This window comes from Homo sapiens, chromosome 15, assembly GCF_000001405.40.
Source record: "Homo sapiens chromosome 15, GRCh38.p14 Primary Assembly".
Classification (NCBI taxonomy): domain Eukaryota; kingdom Metazoa; phylum Chordata; class Mammalia; order Primates; family Hominidae; genus Homo; species Homo sapiens.
Window position 1 is genome coordinate 63528381 of NC_000015.10, and position 21174 is coordinate 63549554.

Sequence of the window (21174 nt, forward strand, 5' to 3'; positions counted from 1 at the left end):
AAGAGCCCTTATAAATTCCCAGACTTAACTTTTTAAGCCTTCACAAGTGTCTATCCTTATCACCCTTTCTCTCATGTACCAGCATTTAAGACTAAAAAAATAAACACTTTGGTTTAACATTTTTATGTTTTGCTAAATAGATACTATATTCAGAGCCTAAAAATATTTTTATTACTGTGTGGTTTTATTGTGTGGGTATCAGTATGTGTGTGTATATGAGTATTTCAGCTATATTATGTTTCATTTAGGGCTTTACAGACGACCCTGGAAACCTTTAATACTGTTTCCATGGGAAATGTGTTTATCCTGCAGGTAAACTTTTGAATCTCATCTATCTATAAATTGAAACTACCTTTTATAATAAGATAGTCCCCCTAAAGGTGATTAAAATAAATGGTTTTAAGATTATCTGTAGTATTCTTTTATTTGTACAATTACCTGTTCTCTTCTTAACAATAATTGAGAGTTTAATTTAAAGCCAGTGTTTTTCAGTCTATTTTATATTTGTCCTGGGTACATTAAAGGTTCTTAATTTGGATGAAGCATGTATAAACAGAGTGAATATTCCCCAAAGCAATGCCATTTATTGGCTTCAGAATCCCTCATAATACCCTATCCTCTGTATCTTTCTAGCCTTCAAATGTTTATCTGGTGTGACTGTATTATGCCCTCAGAGAGTACTGTATGTTGCCCAGGCTGGCCTCGAACTCTAGGCTCAAGTGATTCTTCTGCCTCAGCCTCCCAAGTAGCTGGGACTACAGATGCAATCACCACCACACTTGGCAGGTAGTAAAGTGGTTTTTTTTTTTTTCTTTTTTTTGAGATATATTAAAAGGCACAGTCCATAGTCACTTGTTTCCAATGATTTTGGAAGTCAGTACTTTATTCCCTTTTACTTTCTCTCCTTATCATTACGTATCTGTCTGTCTAATTGATGCACAATTCACATAACATAAAGTTAACCATCTTAAAGTGAACAATTCAGTGGCGTTTAGTACATCCACAATTGTTTTACAAGTACCATCTCTATCTAGTTCCGAAACATTTTCATAACCCCAAAATAAACTCTATACCAATTAAACAGTTACTTCCCATTCTCTTGACCCCCTCAGTCTTAGAGTTTTTTGGTTTTTTAAAATGTGTTATTGAATTGAGAAATTAAAAAAAATTAAAGCCTTGTGAGATAGTTGATATTATAAGACTAGCTTTATAATACCCTGTTCTAAATGCAGGAACATGAAGAAATGTGTTCATGCACCTTGAGTGGGGAAAAGGAGATCACCAAATTGTGTGTACTGTGTGTAGGTTTACAACCCTAAAGTGAGGAAGAAAGGAACACTTGGTAGGAAACATACCCAAAGCAAAGTCACAGGGATTCTGCTCCAGATTTCTTTTTCCTCGTACAAAGGAGGGACAAAAATCCTCCATAATTAAAAAAATATCCTGGGTAGTTAAAAACTTGGGCCTAGGCCAGGTGCAGAGGCTCATACCTATAATCTGGGCACTTTGGGAGGCTGAGGCAGGGAGGATTGCTTGAGCTAAGGGATTCAAGACCAGTCTAGGCAACATAGTGAGACCCTGTCTCTACCAAAAAGAAAAACAGAAAATTAGCCAGGCGTGGTGGCAGATGCCTGTAGTCCCTGCTACTCTGGAGGCTGAGGTGGGAGGATCAATTGAGCCTGGGAGGCAGAGGTTGTAGTGAGCTGTGATCATGCCACTGCAATCCAGCCTGGGCGACAGAGTGAGACCCTTTCTCAAAACAAAACAAAAACACAACCTTGGGCCTAAACTTACTATTGTAACGTAATTATTTCAGGATAATATTAACCTATAAGAGTTTTTTTCTCCCAGATTTGAGTTACCGTCATCCTTCCTTCCCTCCCTCCCTGCCTCCCTCCCTCCCTCCTTCCCTCCCTTCCTTCCTTCCTTCATTCCTTACATCCATCTTTTTTTTTTTTTTTCCTGAGGCACAGTTTGCTCTGTCACCCAAACTAGAGTGCAGTAGTGCAGTCATATCTCACTGCAGCTTCACCTTCCTGGGCTCAATTGATCCTCCCACGTGGCTGAGACTGTAGGCACGTGCCACCACACCCGGCTAATTTTTGTATTTTTTGTAGAGATGGAGTTTCACCATTTTACCAAAGCTGGTCTCGAACTCCTGGACTCAAGCAATCTGCCTGCCTCGGCCTCCCAAAGTGTTGGGACTACAGGCACGTACCAGTGCACCTGGCCCCAAAGTTCTTAATATTTACTAAGAGAAAAAAGCTTTACTGGAGAAACAAAATATTCATAATATCTCAGTACTCCAAATCATACCTCAAACCATGAATAGCTGTTCAAGTAAGCTGTGTACTAGTTTACTTTTTATTTTGTAAGATACATTTTATTGGGCTTTCTCTTCAAACTGTAAAAACATCATATTCTCATTGCTGTAAGGCAAACACCATAGGGGAGTACAAATAAAAAGCCAGCAGTCTCCCTCACAATAAGTCTTCCCAAGTACCTGCCTAACAGAGTTGTTTTAGCAGTTTGGTAGGTATTCTTCCGCACCTTTCTGTCATGTGGTTTACGTGCACATGTAACAAAATTAGACCCAGTTGAGTAAAAAATGCCTTCAGTGCCTTCAAGGATGGCCCTCATACTGAATGTAAATATGCGAATGCACTAAGAAAAGGGAAGGCCTTTGGCAACTAGAAGGGGATTTCACCACTCAAAGCTTTCATGTTCAAAACTAAAGTTCTGTACTGGCCAAACTGTAGAGTCCCTCAGGCAGTAATCACTGTGCTCTCCTATTCTCACCTCCTGTCCCCTCCTCTCATGCAAATATAGGATGAACATAGTCAAAGATTTATTTAACTCATTAATGAGGGAACCAGTAGTAAGATGGTAAAGCTGGCTCCAAGAGTATTTGGGAACTGAGTGTGTATAGACAGTGAAGAAAAAAACATTGAAATAAAATTGGTAGGTTAGATACAAAACTGGTTAATATCCTACAGGGTAGTATAATTGTAACCTTTGGAGTCTGCTGGACAGAAATTATGTAAAAACTCCATTACCTGTAATTTCATAGAATTTGGGTCCTGGTCAAGTAAGCAGGTCAGTGGTACTATAATTAACTATCTTTGGGAGGAGCTATTAAACAGTGTTTCAGTGTACGCTGAAAGGGCTTACAGTTCTCCATTCACCTTATTTCCAGTTTCGGTTAATTTTTTTTTAACAGTGAGAAAGGCCTGTTGTGATACGGGATTGGGCAAGAGAAATGTAGGTAGAGATCAGATCTTGGAAGAGATGGGTATCCTAAACTAAGAAATTTAAACTTTCTCTTCCACAAATATTTATTGAGCATCTACAACGTGCTAGGTGGTTACTATGATCCTGTGTGGTTGTGCTGCAGTGCTCCTCCCATGCCTCTAGGAGGCTGACTAGTGGCTCCCAAGGGGCTGTATTAGGAAGTCACCTGGGAAGCTACTTTGCGCAAAATATACATGTTCTTTGTACTTCCTTCCCCACGCCAATGTAGATAACCTTGAGTAGAACATAGGTGTTTTCAAAAAGCTTTCCAGGTGATTTTGATATCCCTCCCTTTTAAATATCATTGTTACTTATATAGGACTTATTAAAAAATGAATGAGTAGACAGCAAGCAAAATTTTAATCAATATTTCATTTCCATACCTTCTTGCCTTCCCCACCACTATAATACATCAACTAAAATCATTAATGTCTTGATTATACCATCAGCAAGAATTATGTGCAGTTGTCATATATTTTATGCAACTAAGAATTACTTTGGGAAAACTAGGCTCAGATTTCCTAATTGTAACCTTATGTTGTGCCTCTTAGTAAATAAACTGAAAGAATTGTCATTTGTAGTGGTCTATGACCTACATGGCAATGACATGTGATTAAATGACTAGACTTAAAAAATGTTTTTTAATAGGAAAATAGACTGTCGTTAACTTGTCAGAGACTGTAGCAAAAGGGAATAAGTAATAAAGGAGACAAGTGTATATGTGTTTAACGTGGTTAAGCTATTTGGGTTGAGTCAGCAATTAAAATGAGCCGCTGTTGTGGACATGCATTTAAATTCTTTTCAGTATAACTTAATTAGGCAGCCATTTTGTGTAAATGCATTCACAAAGCACGGATTTGCAACTTCAGCATTCCTACATAGCCATGGAATTTATAACTTAATCACAGGAAAATGGGGAGAAATTGGGAAATAACATGATGCAATTGGTATATTGTGTATTTTTCTTTTTATTAGTGTGCCGGTCCAACAAAAGCCCTTGGGTCTGTTTGACTTGTTCAAGTGTCCACTGTGGAAGGTAGGTGACATACTTATTACTTCACTGACCTATTTGCTTTTTAAAATTTGTCTTTAAGCTTTATGTCAGAGTTTTATTGATTTGGATTTAGTACCATTGTTAATCATAATGCATAATTCCCTGTAGGGCTTCCTTCTCCAGTTGAATCCCTTTGTTCTGTGATACAACTGGGGAAAACATCTAGGGGAGAAAAACTCTTCGTATTGATACTCAGAAGAATTAGTTTGATGACCAAGACAATCTGCTAATAATATTTGAGTGGAAAGATGAGCTAAGGGAATTCTTGAAGTACAAATTTACCTAATGGTTGTTTTTTAAACCTTTTATTAGGGTAAAATTTAAGCACACACAAACATAGAGATGGTATAATTGAACCCCATGTCCCATTCACCCAGCAATTATCAACACATGGCAATCTTTTTTCACCTATTACCTACCCCATCCCCACCTCTACTGACTTTTGTATCAAATCCCAGGTATGATATCATTCTTCTGGGAAAGAAAAAAACCCTTAAAATATTTACAGATAAACGAATTCCTTTTGAAAATGATCTCATTGTGGAGTTCATTATTAATTCCTAAGATATACCAAATGTTTCATTGTTCCATTAAAATACTACTTTCTATGGACAACATCTTCTACCTCACCCCACCCCAGTTTAAACCTGAGCATTTCTTCCCAGTTCTTGGCCTCAAAATAATATTATTTAAATAGTAACTCTTCTAGCACAAACTCAAGTATATTGTCTGTGGTTTTTTGCCTGGTAGCAGCACATTTATTTCCACTGCTCTTCTAGCTTAGAAAATCTACTTTGAATTTACTTTAGAAGTTAATAGCTTAGCAGTAAGGAAATGAGAAATCATACTGAGTCCCATAGGCTGAAATCTATATTGTATTTATCCAGAATATTTCCCCATTGTTATTTTTAAATCCTCATTGCATGAAGAGAGCATCTTTCTTTGTTCAGTGAAGTTTTGATTTTTCACATTTTGAGTCCTGGAATTGAGTATTTTTTCCATGTGCACTTAAGAGTACCTTTGGAAAATGTTAACTGCATTTCTTAATTGTGGCTGTTGTGGTTTTGAAATCTCTAGGATTTGGGGAACCTGAAAATACTTTGTACAGATAACTTTTTTTTAAAAAAGAAGAAAAGTAGAAGCACTTAAATTCTGCAGTTGAAGAGACAGATTCCTCTCCTAGATTTTGAGAGGTGAGAATTATAATGCAATAAAATTTATGTAGTTCTGTTCTCCAGAAGTCTCGTAGTGCTCTACAACCTAAATCTTGATGGTCATGTGCCAATCAAAAGACCTGACAAACTCAAAAATTAGAGATTAATGTTCTTAAACAACAAACTAAAATAGGTTTTGGAAAAATAAATGGAAAAATTTCTAGCCTCTGCAGGTGGACTGTTGTCAATTGCAAACAAGCTTAAATTTAGAAATTTGACATAGTTTTGGAGAAATGTGATGAAGTAGATTAAACAGAAAATTCAGAATAGCCTGAATTTGGATCTCCATTTTACATAGCTGATTGGTTAATATTCTTTTATCATGTAATCCCAGGTGTTGATTGCCAAATTTATTGATTTTTTGGTAATTTTAGACTGCTTGTCTTTAGGGAAATCGTAAAGTGAATATTCTTCCCACTAGGAAACATAGTTTATCAATAGCATATATGGGTTATAAATTCTGCTGGTCTTCATGACACCATCCCATTTAAGTTATTTTTCAAATTTTTGTGATTGTTATTAGAAATTTGTGACATATGTAGTGAAATTTTTCCTCTTGTGCTGTAGACCAAAATGTCTAGTTAAAATCCAAAACTAGATGAGGGAAATATTTAATTTCCTGTTAGCTAGTTTATACAAAACTGTTAACCTCTTCGACTAATATATTTAGGTATCAGGCAAAACATTGCTAATCTTAATATCAGTATTCCTACTTCTTAGTTTATCTCTGATATGCACCGGAACTATTTAAACATCTAGTACATTTAGAAACTACAGCATTGTAGTTAAATGGACTATGTAAAGATGATGAGTTCTCAAAAATGTGCAAGTGGTAATGTGCTTATTCAGTATTATTACTGTAGCAATGAATTACTGTTGTTTTTCATGGTTTAGTATTATAAATATATATGATAAGAATAGGTGATTAAGATTAAGTATTGAACCTATATGATACCTTAGAGTTTGCCTTTTATTTGTTTATTTATTTATTTATTTATTTATTTACTTATTGGACAGAGTCTCACTCTGTCACCCAGGCTGCAGTGGAGTGGGGTGATCTCGGCTCACTGCAACCTCTGCCTCCTGGGTTCAAGTGATTCTCATGCCTCAGCCTCCCAAGTAGTGGGATTACAGGCATGTGCCACCAACCATGGCTAATTGTTGTATTTTTAGTAGAGATGGGGTTTCACCATGTTGGCCAGGCAAGTTTCAAACTCCTGACCTCAAGTGATCTGCCTGCCTTAGCCTCCCAAAGTGTTGAGATTACAGGCGTGAGCCACTGCACCCAGCCTTACATTTTATTAAATAGCGTTTCTTGACCTATACAGTTACATGTTATCTTGAAATATGTGCTAAATGTGCCCACCTTCTAAGCAATTGTTGTTTGGATTCTGAATGAGTAGTAGTTAAGCACAGAAAGAAGAATGCTAATAAAATGATTGCTAACATTCATTTGTTATGAACTATGGATTATGTAATCACCTAACAACCCATGAGACACAAAGTACTATTACGTCCATTTTACAAATGAGAAAACAAGTACAGAGAGGTTAAATAATTCATCCAAGCTCTCATGGCCAGGATGTGATAAAGCCTAATTTTGAATCCAGGCAGTCTAGTTTTTGAGCTTATCCTCTTAATCATTATTTGACTCTAAAATTCATTTTAGTACAGTTTTATGAACAGAGGACTCAGGTATATGCAAAAGTGTAAAGTACAGGGAAAAAATGGAGAAAGAACGTGATCACATTCCAAGTTGAGGTTAATAGTGCCTTGAATGTGCCCAGTTTTCCTGGGTAGAGGGGCTAGGTTTGAAGTTGATCCTTCCCAGTTACGGTAACTCTCCTACTTCCTCCAAGGTAAGTGTTTTTCCTGGTGCAGTTAAGGTGCCTCATGATGAAAATGTCATCTAACTCTCTGCATCTGTTTATTTTGGTACCATTTAACCAACATTTGTTTTGACTGAGTTTTCAAGTAGGCCTTGCCTTCCACACATTGGCTGCTTTCTAGGAACTGGGAAATGTTGCTTCTTAAGGGTCTTCACGTTGGTGGTTAGTGACAGAATTGTGCAGTCTCTAGACGAAGGTGTAGATGGATTTGGGTGTACACCATGTGCATATGGAGCCTTATTTCAGTTTCATTGTGCCTGCTGTAATACTAAATCTGAGTTGGAATGTGTTACACAATTTTTATGAACATAATCAACTTTTGATTATCTTTGTCCATGTAGAGAAATAGCAGTTTTTGTAAGCTTAAGGTGATTTGTGTTTTGTTTGGATTATTTCTAAACAAACATGTTTCCATATGAGAGGAGCTGATTATTCAGGCATTCAAATAAAAGACTGGAAGCTATATTGGTGAGAGATGGAACATTGTCCTGTTTCTCTGACTCTCACACTTTATGTTAAGCAGCAACTTGAGCAGAGTCTATGGCCCTGTGGGAAGTGGCTGAGTAATTTACTTAACAGAGCTTGTCTTTGATAATAGCCCAAGTTGGGGGTTAGTGGTCTGAGAGAAAAAAAAAAAAAGCTATAGTGAAAGCAGCAGCAAAGGAGTTTATAAATAATATCTATGGTACTGAAACCAATTTGCATAGATTATGCCTTTCCTTGCCTGAGCCTACTCTTGTATATAATTAAAAGTTGACTATAGTATTTGGTTGCAAAAAAGGAGCATAGGCGGGTGGATCATGAGGTCAGGAGATCAAGACCATCCTGGCTAACATGATGAAATCCCATCTCTATTAAAAATACAAAAAAAAAAAATTAGCTGGGTGTGATGGTGGGCGCCTGTAGTCCCAGCTACTCGGGAGGCTGAGGCAGGAGAATGGTGTGAACCTAGGAGGTGGAGCTTGCAGTGAGCCAAGATCGTGCCACTGCACTCCAGCCTGGGCAACAGAGCGAGACTCCGTCTCAAAAAAAAAAAAGAGCATATTTTAAGTATTCAGTATAATAAATCACTACATGATTGACTGCTGTTATAGGATTTCTTTATTTTGATTTGATTAATATTTAATTTCATCATTTCCTACTCCTTTAATTTCCAAAGCAATATTTAAAGTAAATTTTCATTTGGTTTTTGTAAGGTATGTGAATGGCCATGCAAAAAAACATTATGAAGATGCACAAGTACCTTTAACCAACCATAAGAAATCAGAAAAGCAAGATAAAGTTCAGCACACAGTATGTATGGATTGCAGTAGCTACAGTACATACTGGTAAGTTAACATTTTCTGGAAATGAGATTTCTTACTGTGTGCAAGTGTGCTCTCCTCCCCTCCCTTCCCTCAGTCTCTAAGCCAGTTACTACTGCTGTTACCTCCTTTTACAACTGTTAGGATTCACGGAGGACTGGAGCCATTGGGAACGCCTATCTTTATTCATTCAGATTTTACTTTGCATTGTTCCTTTCAACTTCTAGGCCTCCTTTTCTCTCCCACCTCCCGTTCCTCATCCATCCTAGCTTCAAGGAAATAGATCTATTTCTTTGTTATTATAATTTCTTTTTCTTGTGTTATTTTAAATTGAAGAACAATGTGATAACCCATGTTCAAAATAACTCAACAAACCCATGTTCCTCCTGTCCCTGGTCCAGTTAACATTTTTGTCATATAATCTTAAAAATTTTAACTGCTTTGTTTAAAAAAAAATTATTCTGACAGTCTCCCTTCTCCCAGTGCAGTTCCACGCTCCTCTTCTACTCCCCCAAAGGTGAATGTCAAGAATTTGGTACGTAGCTTTCCAGGCTATTTTTTCTTTTTTTTGAGACAGAGTTTCGCTCTTGCTGCCCAGGCTGGAGTGCAATGGCGCAATATCGGCTCACCTCAATGTCTGCCTCCCGGGTTCAAGCAACTCTCCTGCCTCAGCCTCCCAAGTAGCTGGGATTACAAGCATGTGCCGCCATGCCCAGCTAATTTTGTATTTTTAGTAGAGACGGAGTTTCACCATGTTGGTCAGGTTGGTCTCGTACTCCTGACCTCAGGTGATTTGCCTGCCTCGGCCTCCTAAAGTGCTGGGATTAACAGGCATGAGCCACCGCTTCCAGTGCTATTTTTTTTTTTTTTAGTATCCTTTAAAAAGAGGTTGGCAACAGGTTCTGTTCCCTCTTTGTAATATAATATTCATGTCTATTTCATATAAATGACAAAGTAGGTATCTATTTTTGTGACTACTTAGAACTAGGTTATTTAGGTTGTGAGTGATGCTTAATGATCCATATCCATTTGGTTATGCTCAGAAAGTATATTCTGCAGTTTTAACTTTGGTGTGAAGCAAATTTCTTTCTGTGACTAGTAAATTATGATGAACAATTCTTGTTTTAATCAGCTTTCCCTTGATTCAGAAGGTTGTTGACATTAAAGGAGGGGATATAAGCCATTTAAAGGATCACTTTGGAGATATTTTTTATTGTCAGACAGCCCTTGAATGTTACATGAAGGCATTACTGGGTAGAGATGGGGATTTAGAGAAGTCCAGATAACAATTTTAATTTACTTTCTACTGAAATGGTGTGAGAATCCTTTCCACATTGTCCTTAGTCGATAATTGTATGATAGGAAGGTGCCCATCAAAAGGAAGAAGAAAGGGTCAGTGGTTTGCCAGGTCTTTTACTTTTTTTTTTTTTTTTTGAAACAGTCTTGCTCTGTCGCCCAGGCTGGAGTGCAGTGGCCGATCTCCGCTCACTGCAAGCTCTGCCTCCTGGGTTCAAGCCATTCTCCTGCCTCAGCCTCCTGAGTAGCTGGGACTATAGGCACCTGCCACCACTCCCGGCTAATTTTTTTGTATTTTTAGTAGAGACAGGGTTTCACCGTGTTAGCCAGGATGGTCTCAATCTCTTGACCTCATGACCCGCCTGCCTCGGCCTCCCAAAGGGTCTTTTACATTTTTACAGGTTCAACACCATTAAATTTTGGCTATTGAATAGACATCTTAAGGGTTATTCATTCAGATCACTACTGTTTTTAGTGATCCTTTGTGTGGAAGATGTCCAGACCTGGAGAGAGAGAAGCTAGAGGTAGGTGAAGATTTCAGTAGAAATGAAAATCTTCCCAAGATTTTTACACAAAGGTTAGTGCTCAGTTTATTGTTATTTGCTGTTGTGAAACACACCTACCAAAGTTAAGCATTAGCCAGGCAGTTAAAGCGTTTGCATTCCCCTTTCCCTCAGGTTTTCTTTTTTTTTTTCGCCCTTTCCCTCAGGAAACTTATATACTAGAGTGATGTGGCTACGTAATTTGCAGAACTGTGTGTTTCTGTGTGTTTGTATTTCTGCTTTAGACAACAGAAATTAATATAATTCTTGAAGTATCTGTCTCACATTGTCATGGGTCACATCATCCTATAGTACCAGATACTGAGAACATTGATTTTTGATTTTCAGTTAGCAATGTGAGTGAATTGCTTAATGGAGGACTTTGGAAATACAATTAAATCGCTGTGTGCTATAACAAGTTTGCCATTGTTTTCTTGCTGTTGGTAAGATTCTGAGGAAACTAACTGTTAAAGAAAATTTTAAGAATTATCTTAATGGAATGGAATTATATTCAAGGCCCTTTAAAAATGTAGATTATATATTTTAATATCTTTATACATTGTATTTTAGGGGCATATTTTATTAACTAGAAATGGGAATTGAATTGGTTTTATTTCGCTATGGTCTGCTAAAGTATATGTCGTTTCATGGTGGAATTGGAATTAAATGGAAAATCTTGAACCTTGGGGAGTATACACTATGATGGAGTCTTCTTGGCCGATTGCCAGGCTTTTGTGTGAAGTTGTACAGAGCTGCAAGTGTGTGGACACCCAGAGCTGCTGAATTCAGGAAGGGAGCTGCAGCTGGTCACATTGTCGGCTCACTTGTGGGTTTTAGAATAAAATGCTAGGGAATCACCCCGTAGCATTACACTGATGGCCTAAAAGAAATCTGTGATAGTTGTAAATTGACGAAGATGCAGTTTAAATTAACATTCCTCCCACACCTCACTGTGATGAAGAAACAGATTTCCTATTTCTGTGTGGAGTGTGTGCATGTGTTGTTTCCTCGTGCCCGTTAGTAATTTTACTTCAATTTATTAATTTTCCTTGTACACTAATTTCTTGTGGTTAGACTGAATGATTGATTTCAGAGGTAAAACATTGGTGCATTAGGTTTAACATGTTTGATTATAAATATCTTGACTAAAGTCAAAGCCTTTTTTGCAGTGTGCTCTGTGCCCTAGAGAAGTTATAACATACTCTGAGGCTTGCAGTTCTTCTTTCCCTGCTTTCCCCTTGCCAATAGTCCCTGCCCTGTCCTATGTTTGCAATCCTTTATGAAGTTATCACTGAACTCTTCTCTTTCCCCAGCTCCAGTTGTAGCTGAATGTAATCTTTCCTGAACTCACAGCTCTTGGAATACTTATAATTTCATGCTGCATGTTAGTTATTTGTAAATGTCCTTGGAGACTGCAGATACCATATCTCAGATCTTTGTATTTTTCCCTAGTATGCAGTGTCTGGTGCAGAGTAGGTGACATACGTTTGAAAGACTGAATTTTGTTAACTGTCTTTCAGAAATGGGGAAGGTTACATCAGATCTATAATACTGTGTCCCCTGATCATCTTGAAGGACTAAAGAGCCACGTAACATTTTTCCTGCAGACAACTTAAATCATGATATAGGTGAACTACTTCATTTCCCTCCCAAGATGGACACCCTTGTAGAGCAGTGCCCCTCCACCTTGATGTAAACAGGAGCCCAGAGAGGAAGCATGCATTAACCAGGCAGAACAATATAAATCAGGTTACTGTTCATTAAGAGAGAAAGCAGTGCGAAAAGGAATGATTCTGATTTGACACAAACCCACTTCTTAAGGAGATAAGCACATTAACTTGAAAATGAAAGGTAAATTAAGATTTCGATGAAAATAAAAATCTTCCCAAGATTTCACACAAGAGCTAGTGTTTAGTTTACTGTTTGTTAGGTAATATTTCATTTGCTCCCATCCCAATTTCCCTCCCTTAACCAATACAAATGGAATTGTATGTGGTGTACATTATTGTGATTGAGAAGAAACAAAGATTAAAATTAGGAACTTTGGTTTTTTTATGGAGGTAGACCTTTGTATTTAATAGATTTAAAATACTGAACCAATAATTTTTGACATCTGACATAGTCTTGTCAACTTCGATATCCTTATCAATAATAGCTGAATTTTTGAGAATGAAGAATTATGAAAGGAATATTAAAAGTATATTCCTTCAGGGCAGGTAATGTTTTAAAGCATCCTTTCAAATGAAGAAATATTGTGAAATATGAATCAGTTGTCTAGAAAAGAGGCTTGAATTTCAGATTTTAAACACTTGTAATAAATGGCAATTTTAATTAAAATGAACATAAAGCTTTATTTGTGAGTTTAAATAGATAATGAATCATTTCCTACAGCAGTTGTGATTAAAAATTTTAAAAAAGGAAAATATTTTGTTGATGTTCTTATAAACGATTTGGACGCAAATTTTCAATGTAAAAAATTAGACAACAGGGAGAGTTTTGTTTATTTAAAAACAATATTTTGAAGTTTAAGAAGAAACTTTCTAATAGAGATAATCTTAAAACATAAAAGGCTCTTCCTTAAGATAAGCTGGTACTTGTCTGCTTTTAACAAAGGATATGGGTTTGCTCTGCAGGTATTCTTCTAATTTTCCATAATTGGCTTATTTGATGGCAATACATCAGAGTTTAGTAAGAGAATTTAAAAATGCTCTTGCTTCCTAAGCAAATTCTTTTAGATTTTAACCTTTCTCAGTTTGAAATAGGTGAAGTCACTAGAATATCAGCTTGCTTTTTCTTTTCAGTATTACTGTCATTTATAATAAAACCAGATGTCAAATTTGCCCGTAAATATCAAAATGTCTTAGAAGTGAATGAAAAGGAGCTGGTGAAACTTAATGAAGGATCTGTCATGTGTCAGGGGTGTTTGTTGCATAAGAGGTTTTATTTATTTATTTATTTTTGGTATTAGTGTTATGCATGGCTTACTGTATAAAGATAGCTTTGTTGCCAGTAAATTAAAGGACTTGTTTCTTTACTGTTGCATAAAAAATGTTTTATTTGTATGATTATTCCTCCTTGTTTCAGATGAGTGAAGAATGGTTTGCTTTGGGAATATTTTCTTAGTTCTTCAAGGACATGATGTGGAAGTCATGACTTGAGTAACTTCAATAGCACTAACAACAGGAATTGAAAAAAACTTAGAATTTTAAAGCTGAGAAAGAGGTAGAGATTTTTCTCTGTCTTGGGTATGACATATATGTTATTCAGTATGGTAGCAATTGAGCAATTGAATGTGGCTAGTGTGAAGAATTAAGTGTTTTTTATTTTAATTAATATTTAAATAGCACCATGTGACTGCTAGCTACTATTGGACAGTGCAGCCTCAAACTATTAAAATTTAACATTAAGTATATTAATGTTATAAACTTTCAAAACCTTAAGATAGAAATCTAACAGAAACTCCAAAAACAAAATAAGCCAATTTTACTAAATAAAATACTGTAGTTGGAAATAACTATAACTTAAAGCAAATCTAACCCAGTAAGCTATCAAAAAGAAAAATTATATAATTACCAAGTAGAGTTAATTTCACCTGAGTTCTATGAACATATTCATTATTAAAGGAAACCTCAAATTATTGTCCCATTGGAAGCAAAATATACATTTATAAATAGCCATTTCTCGTTTTAAAAAACTAATAACATTGAAATAAACAGAAACTTAAGCTCTTCTAGTTTGCCAAAAACCAGAAAGCAAACATCATATACTAAATGATGAAATGCCAAAGCCATTTCCATTATATCAGAAACGAGACTAATACTTCCTGTCATCATTTACATGATTGTCACTATTATTAAGCATTGTTTTGGTAGTTCTAGCCATTGCAGTAAGACAGTAGACAGAAAGTCAAATAATTGGCATAAATATTGGAAACAAAAAATTATTTCTACTTTGAAATGATACAATAGAATAGCTGGAAAGCCCAGGGGGACTCTAGTAGAAAACAGCAATGAGGATTAAATGTAAGACACTTTGGAAAGCTGATGTGTGAGAAATGTACACAAACTAATAGCTTTCTCTTTATTAGTAGTCATCAGTTGAAAATGGAAATGACCAAGCAAAAATATTCAACAGAATGACAAAACTATTGGTTACACCTAGGAATAAATGTGTTAAAGAAAGGTACAGAGTGAAGGTAATGACCCTTATGAAGAAAACTTGATATTATAAAAAGTAGTCCTTTTCTCCCTCAGTTTTTGTCTTCAAAATGTTTACTTGGGACAGATCGTGGTTTACATGATGGTCCTCAAACATATTGTGAACAACATTAAAAAAAAAAGACACATTTTACTCAATAAGTAACATTTTTTGAGAAGCTACTATGTGCTAGGGACCTAGTTTTTAGTGCAGTGGTCTCCAAAATAATGTACTGGCAGTATGGGAAGAGCGTTTAGAACACTGTACCTTTTTATTTGGGAGGAGAAAAGAAACCTTTGTCAAATATTTAACACCTGCTGCCAGAGGTCTGTAGATTTGATGATTGTGTGCCATGAGTTACACACAGACTCCTAAATCAGTTTCACCTGTGGTGTCCTCATTCTGTTTACTTTGAGCATTTTGCATTCTATATCTGCTTAGTTATATGGATTTATTCGTCCCATATAATATGTGTAGCCACATGGACACATGTTCTAAAAGGTTTTAAATTCTGCAAGATAGTGACGATGATGTAAACACAAGAAAAGGGCAAATGGATACATTTTCCTACTCTGTGCTCATCAAACATATTACAGGATAAAATTATTGGCTATCTAATAAAAACACAGACTAATAAGACCTGATAAGTTGGACAAAATGTTTAAAAATTAACATGAAGATGATAGGAAGTATGAATCTATATTCACTGTCATTAATGTCAAACCTTTACCTTATGGTATATTGTACTTTGAGAAATTATGGCCAGGCATGGTGGCTCACACCTATAATCCTAGCACTTTGGGAGGCTGAGACAGGAGGATCTCTTGAGCCCAGGAGTTCGAGACCAGCCTGGGCAACACAGGGAGACACTGTCTTTAAAAAAAAAAAAAAAGGAAATTAGTTTAATAATAGTATGAAGATATTGTGAATAGCAAGACATTTAATATAGTTTATTTCATCTCTAGCTCATTCTTTAAAAATTATTCTTTTTTGTAATATATAATTTAGATTTAATTGTATATATAATTTATTAATACAAATATATACATATATATATAGAATATATATAGAGAGGGTAGTGGATACTCAGTTTTGTGGTTTATTTTTTAACTTGATTAGGAAGCTGATGAAAATAGCTTGAAGGCTTCTTTTGTAACCAAATGCAGGTCTGGATGCTCACTGCTTGTAGAGTCCAGTTAATATGAGTGAGGTCTGGTAGAAAGAAAGTAACTTTATTAACCAAAACTAGTGAAAGGGGAAGTAGCTGGATTTCAATCCAAAGTTATTGTTTTGACTTTAGTAGACTAGTGTTTTGTCTTTTAGAATTAGAGGGGGCAAGTAGTGCAGGGCAAAAACAGGAAGGAAACGAGTGTTTCTAAAGTTAGAATTTTTTAAAGGAAGTAAACCTACATTAAATTTTAGGACAAGAAAACGATTGAGCCATGCTGTGTGTTTTCATTTTTGGAGAATGGGGGAAGAATGTAAAGATGGAGATGACCGAATGAGGAATATTGTTTTGCCATTAAATAAGTGAATAGTGCGAAATGGAAAATACCGAGGGGTAAGAGAGTTCATGGTATATGGGATGAAAGCTTAACTCTAAAACTAGAGCAGGTAACACTGAAGTGAAAGGGAAGATTGGGAGGGAAGGGGTAGGAGATAAGAATATCTAAGCAAGGCTGACATTGTGGGGACCATCAAATACTATACTTAGTTCAGTTACAGATAGCTATGGAATTGAAAGTTTCTCAGGGAAAAGGGAAAAAGATGTACCAAAGGAAATAACCAAAGTATAGAAAAGAATGTTCTTTGAAATGAAGAGAAAAAAGATGAGTTTTTGAGAGTGTATAGAAAGAAAAGTAGCAAGGTTTTAGGCAAGGTTAAATACTAGAAGTTAGAAATAAATCAAAATCTAAAAAGGCATATATAAAGTATAAGTGTAATGAGAAAATTGAGCAGTTTCATTTTTGTTGTTTATTAGTGTCAACAGAATTTGAAATAATTTTCAAGCTGATTTTATTCATTGTTTACCTCCTTAATTATATAATAGAAATAAGTAGCTTGTGTTTCTTATGAAAATTTACCTGCTACTTGATGTATCTTTTTTCAGTGCACGGTAGTAAAATCAGTTGTATATATCCTGTCTAACATCAGTATGCATATTATACTATACTGTACATTTAATTAGGAGTTTATTAGCTGTTGGCTTAAATGAGTTTAAAACTACTTTATGATCACATTTGGCTCAATGAATTTGGATTTGAGACTAATCTTTACATACCCAAGATGATAATGTTACTTGTCTGTCTTAGAAGTAAAGACACCAATATTCTTCTTACCTTCCTTTTTTATATCCTATTTCCTTATCTAACATCTCTAATATGTACCCTAGTACAATTTTCAAGTATTTTGTTTTTTTTTAATGTTCAGTGTACTTACTTTTTCGTAAATACTGCTTTCTTTCTATTAAATATAGTCCTTATCTGACAAAAAGTCCGTCAGAAGTAGAGCTTATCTTTAGGCCAGGCACGGTAGCTCACAACTGTAATCCCAGCACATTGGGAGGCTAAGGCGGGCGGATGGCTTTGAGCCCAAGAGTTCGAGACTAGCCTGAGCAACATGGCGAAAACCCATCTCTACTAAAAATACAAAAACTAGCTGGGCATGGTGGCACGTGTCTGTAGTCTCAGCTACTCGGGAGGCTGAGGTAGGAGTATGGCTTGAGCCCAGGAGACGGAGGTTACAGTGAGTTGAGATCACGCCATTGCACTCCAGCCTGGGTGACAGAGCCAGACCTTGTCTCAAAAAAAAAAAAAAAAAAAAAAAAACAGTAGAGCTCATCTTTTCTTGAAGAGTCATTTAAAATCAGTAAGTAAAAACTTGCTTAGGTATAAATTTTATAGCCTAAAACTTGGTCATATAATGTAGGTAGTTCCTGACTTCTGTTTATTACATGAAGTCCTGTGTATATGAAGATGCTGAGCCTGGACCTCCTCTCCTAGAGGCCAGTCAGATTATCTGAATCCTGCCTAGGCCTCTCCTGTCAGTTTCTCAGTGCCAGTAGTATATAAATAAGAAAGGAGAAATCGAGCTTTTTCAAATACTATGGATTTCAGCTACATTTTGGGAAACATGTATTTCTACCTAGAACGTTTAACTGTGTTTTGTAACATTTATTTCAAAGCAGGATATGCATTCTAGGCTTCAGAGGACCAATCTACACGTTTTTGAAACACAACCTATGAGTTACGTACTTTTTTGTACCACTTATTCTGGCATAATCTTCTTGAAGGGAAAATTAAGAAGAGTGACTAAATTTTTTTCCCAGTGTCTGAGGTATGCATAATTCTGACCAAAAAGCTTCAATACAACTGTAGCGAATCAAGAAAAGATTTTTAGAACTTTTAAATCCATCTGTTTGCCTTTATTTTATTTTATTTTATTTTTTGTGAGATGGAGTCTTGCTCTGTCGCCCAGGCTGGAATGCAGTGGCCTGATCTCAGCTCACTGCAAGCTCCACCTCCCGGGTTCACGCCATTCTCCTGCCTCAGCCTCCCGAGTAGCTGGGACTACAGGTGCCCGCCACCATGCCCGGCTAATTTTTTGGGTGGGGGGTATTTTTAGTAGAGACGGGGTTTCACCATGTTAGCCAGGATGGTCTCAGTCTCCTGACCTCGTGATCTGCCCACCTTGGACTCCCAAAGTGATGGGATTACAGGCGTGAGCCACCGCGTCCAGCCAATCTGTTTGCCTTTTTAAACACCAATATTAGTGGGACAATTTCCAGTTTGAAAGCTGTGTCTCATCTGAAGACTAAAGCAACCCGGTAACATTTACATTTTCATTTATTTGCCACCTTTGCTACTTATTTTCTTTTGACCTCTGACCACAGAGGAAAAAGAAATCAAACCAGGGGAATCTAGGTAGCTAGAGAGGAATGTGCTGTGAGGCTAGTTACACAGAGGAAGGAAACTAACATTTACTAATCCTCTGCCACGTTGACAGGCACTCTCACCTTAGAAGTTTTGACCTGTGGAAGCAGCTGTTTTCCTTAAAGAATAGCGGTAACAACAATCATAGTAATATATACAACTTGTATAATATGAAATTCAAACAGTAGAAAAACGAAAGTTACATTCTTGAAATAAATGTCCCTCTTAGTGACTGACTATAGGAACACCTAGAATTGGCTCTTGAGAAATAGAGATAGTTGTAAAAACCTAAAAAAAAAATTTTTAAACCAGTGAAAAACAAATCCAGCCAAAATAAAATTGAGTTATGGCCGGGCATAGTGGCTCAGTCTTGTAATCCTAGCATTTTGGAAGGCTGAGGTGGGAGGATTGCTTGAGCTCAGGAATTTGAGACCAGCCAGGGCAACATAGTGAGACCCTGCCACTACAAAAGTAAAAAAAAATAGCCAGGCATGGTCGCTCATGCGTGTAGTCACAGCTACTTGGTAGGCTGAGGCAGGAGGATCGCTTGAGTCCAGGAGGTCAAGGCTGCAGTGAGCTGTGATCTGTGATAGCATTGCTGCAGAGCAAGACCCTGTCTCAATAGAGAGAGAGAGAGAGAGAGAGGGAGGGAGGGAGGGAGGGAGAGAGAGAGAGAGAGAGAGAGAGAGAGAGAGAGAGAGGCATAGAGAGAGGCATAGAGAGAGAGAGAGAGAGAGGGAGGGAGGGAGAGAGAGAGAGAGAGGCATAGAGAGAGAGAGAGAGAGAGAGAGAGAGAGGCATAGAGAGAGGCATATAGTGGCTCATGCCTGTAAGCCCAGCACTTTGGGAAGCAGAGTTAAACAATTAGCCAAGCATGGTAGCGTGCCTGCAGTCCCAACTACTTGGGAGGCTGAGGTGGGAGGATCACTTGAGCCAGGGAGACGGAGGTTGCAGTGAGCTGAGATGGGGCCACTGCAATCCAGCCTGGGTGACAGAATGAGACCCTGTCTCAAAAAAATAAATATAGTTACAAAAAACTAAAAAAAAATCTTAGAGACAGGGTCTCTGTCACCCAGCTGGAGTGTAGTGATGTGATCACAGCTCACTGCAGCCTCCAACTCCTGAGTTCAAGTGATCTTCCCACCTCAGCCTCCCAAGGAGCTGGGAGGCATTACAGGTGCACACCATCATGCTTGGCTATTTATTTATTTATTATTTTATTTTTGCTTTGTTTTTTTTGGGGGGGGACAGAGTCTCACTCTGTTGCCCAGGCTGGAGTGCAGTAGCACGATCTCAGCTTACTGCAGCCTCCGCCTCCTAGGTTCAAGCGATTCTCCTGCCTCAGCTTCCCGAGTAGCTGGGATTACAGGCACACGCTACAACTCCTGGCTAATTTTTGTATTTTTTTAGTAGAGACAGGGTTTCACCATGTTGGTCAGGCTGATCGCGAACTCCTGACCTCAGGTGATCCACCCACCTTGGCCTCCCAAAGTGCTGGGATTATAGGCGTGAGCCACCTTGCCCAGGGAATTTTTTATTTTTTAATTTTCATAAAGATGGAGTCTTGCTATGTTGCCCAGGCTGGCCTAAAATTGAGTTCTTTTTTCTTTCTTTTTTTGAGACAAGAGTCTGACTTTATTGCCTAGTGGAGTGGCATGATCTCTGCTCACTGCAACCTCTGTCTCCCGGGTTCAGGCAATTCTCATGCCTCAACCTCCTGAGTAGCTGGGATTACAGACACATGCCACCACGCCCGACTATAAAATTGAGTTCTTATAGTTCAATAAAGTTAATTTATTATCTCTTTATGCTAGTATTATAGAATTTTGGAGCAGGTAGTATCTTAGATTCCCTACATTAGCAGTGTTATATAAAAGAGAAATAATTCAAGTCACATATGTAATTTAAAATATTTTAGTAGCCATATTAAAAAAGCAAAAAGAAACAGGTGAAATTACTTTTGATTGTACATTTTTTTAACCCAGTATATCAGAAATACTGTGTCAACATGTAATCAATGTAAAATTATTAGAGATAGTTTGCACTTTTTTATATGAAATCCTTGAAATCCATTGTGTATTTTACAATTTTAAGTACATCTCAACTCGTGAAGTTTTGATAAAAAATATTTGATCTGTATTTAGATTCATAAAAATTGCAGTTAAAAAAGTAGATTCACACTGTTTTAAACATTGTTTTCCAATAAATGGAGTACCAAACAGTTTTTCTCCAGTATTTGTATCTGTATTGAGAAAAATTACTCTTTTAAGAATAATTGATTTGACTCAGAAGAAGTGCAGCACTGTCAAAATATCCATGCAGGTTAATAAGTCCACTAACACTTGTGAAAACTTCTTATTATCAACGTCAAATTCAGAGGGGCATCATATAAATCGAAAATCAACTCTAAGTTTATCCAAATCAACAAAGCGTTTGTTGTATTTTTTTTCATAGG

The 21174-nt window shown here is 36.9% G+C and overlaps 1 protein-coding gene across 10 annotated transcripts in view, besides 2 other annotated features; it reads left to right on the forward strand.

The window, feature by feature from the left end:
- USP3 (ubiquitin specific peptidase 3) overlaps positions 1–21174 on the forward strand; it is a 90041-nt gene that overhangs the window by 23788 nt on the left and 45079 nt on the right. For 4 of the 10 annotated variants that reach the window (NR_046341.2, XM_047433394.1, XM_017022765.2 and 1 more), the window contains exons 2-4: positions 634–786; positions 4267–4327; positions 8645–8776. Coding sequence is in view for 8 of the 10 variants with exons in the window: in XM_047433394.1 (XP_047289350.1) it covers positions 762–786; positions 4267–4327; positions 8645–8776 (218 nt within the window). In the remaining 2 variants the exon portion in view is untranslated. Of the gene's footprint in view, positions 1–248; positions 313–633; positions 787–4266; positions 4328–5422; positions 5539–8644; positions 8777–21174 lie in introns of those variants that run through there. The other 6 variants (XM_047433393.1, XM_017022763.2, XM_047433395.1 and 3 more) reach the window with 5 other exon arrangements.
- Positions 2555–2604: an enhancer, noted in NCBI's record as "active region_9539". NCBI's record gives its function as "activates an Ori minimal core promoter by ATAC-STARR-seq in GM12878 lymphoblastoid cells {active_cell/tissue: GM12878}" and the evidence as "EXISTENCE:reporter gene assay evidence [ECO:0000049][PMID:35858748]".
- Positions 11170–11464: a silencer, noted in NCBI's record as "tiled region #15501; K562 Repressive non-DNase unmatched - State 15:Elon". NCBI's record gives its function as "represses a minimal TATA promoter and a strong SV40 promoter by Sharpr-MPRA in K562 cells {active_cell/tissue: K562}" and the evidence as "EXISTENCE:reporter gene assay evidence [ECO:0000049][PMID:27701403]".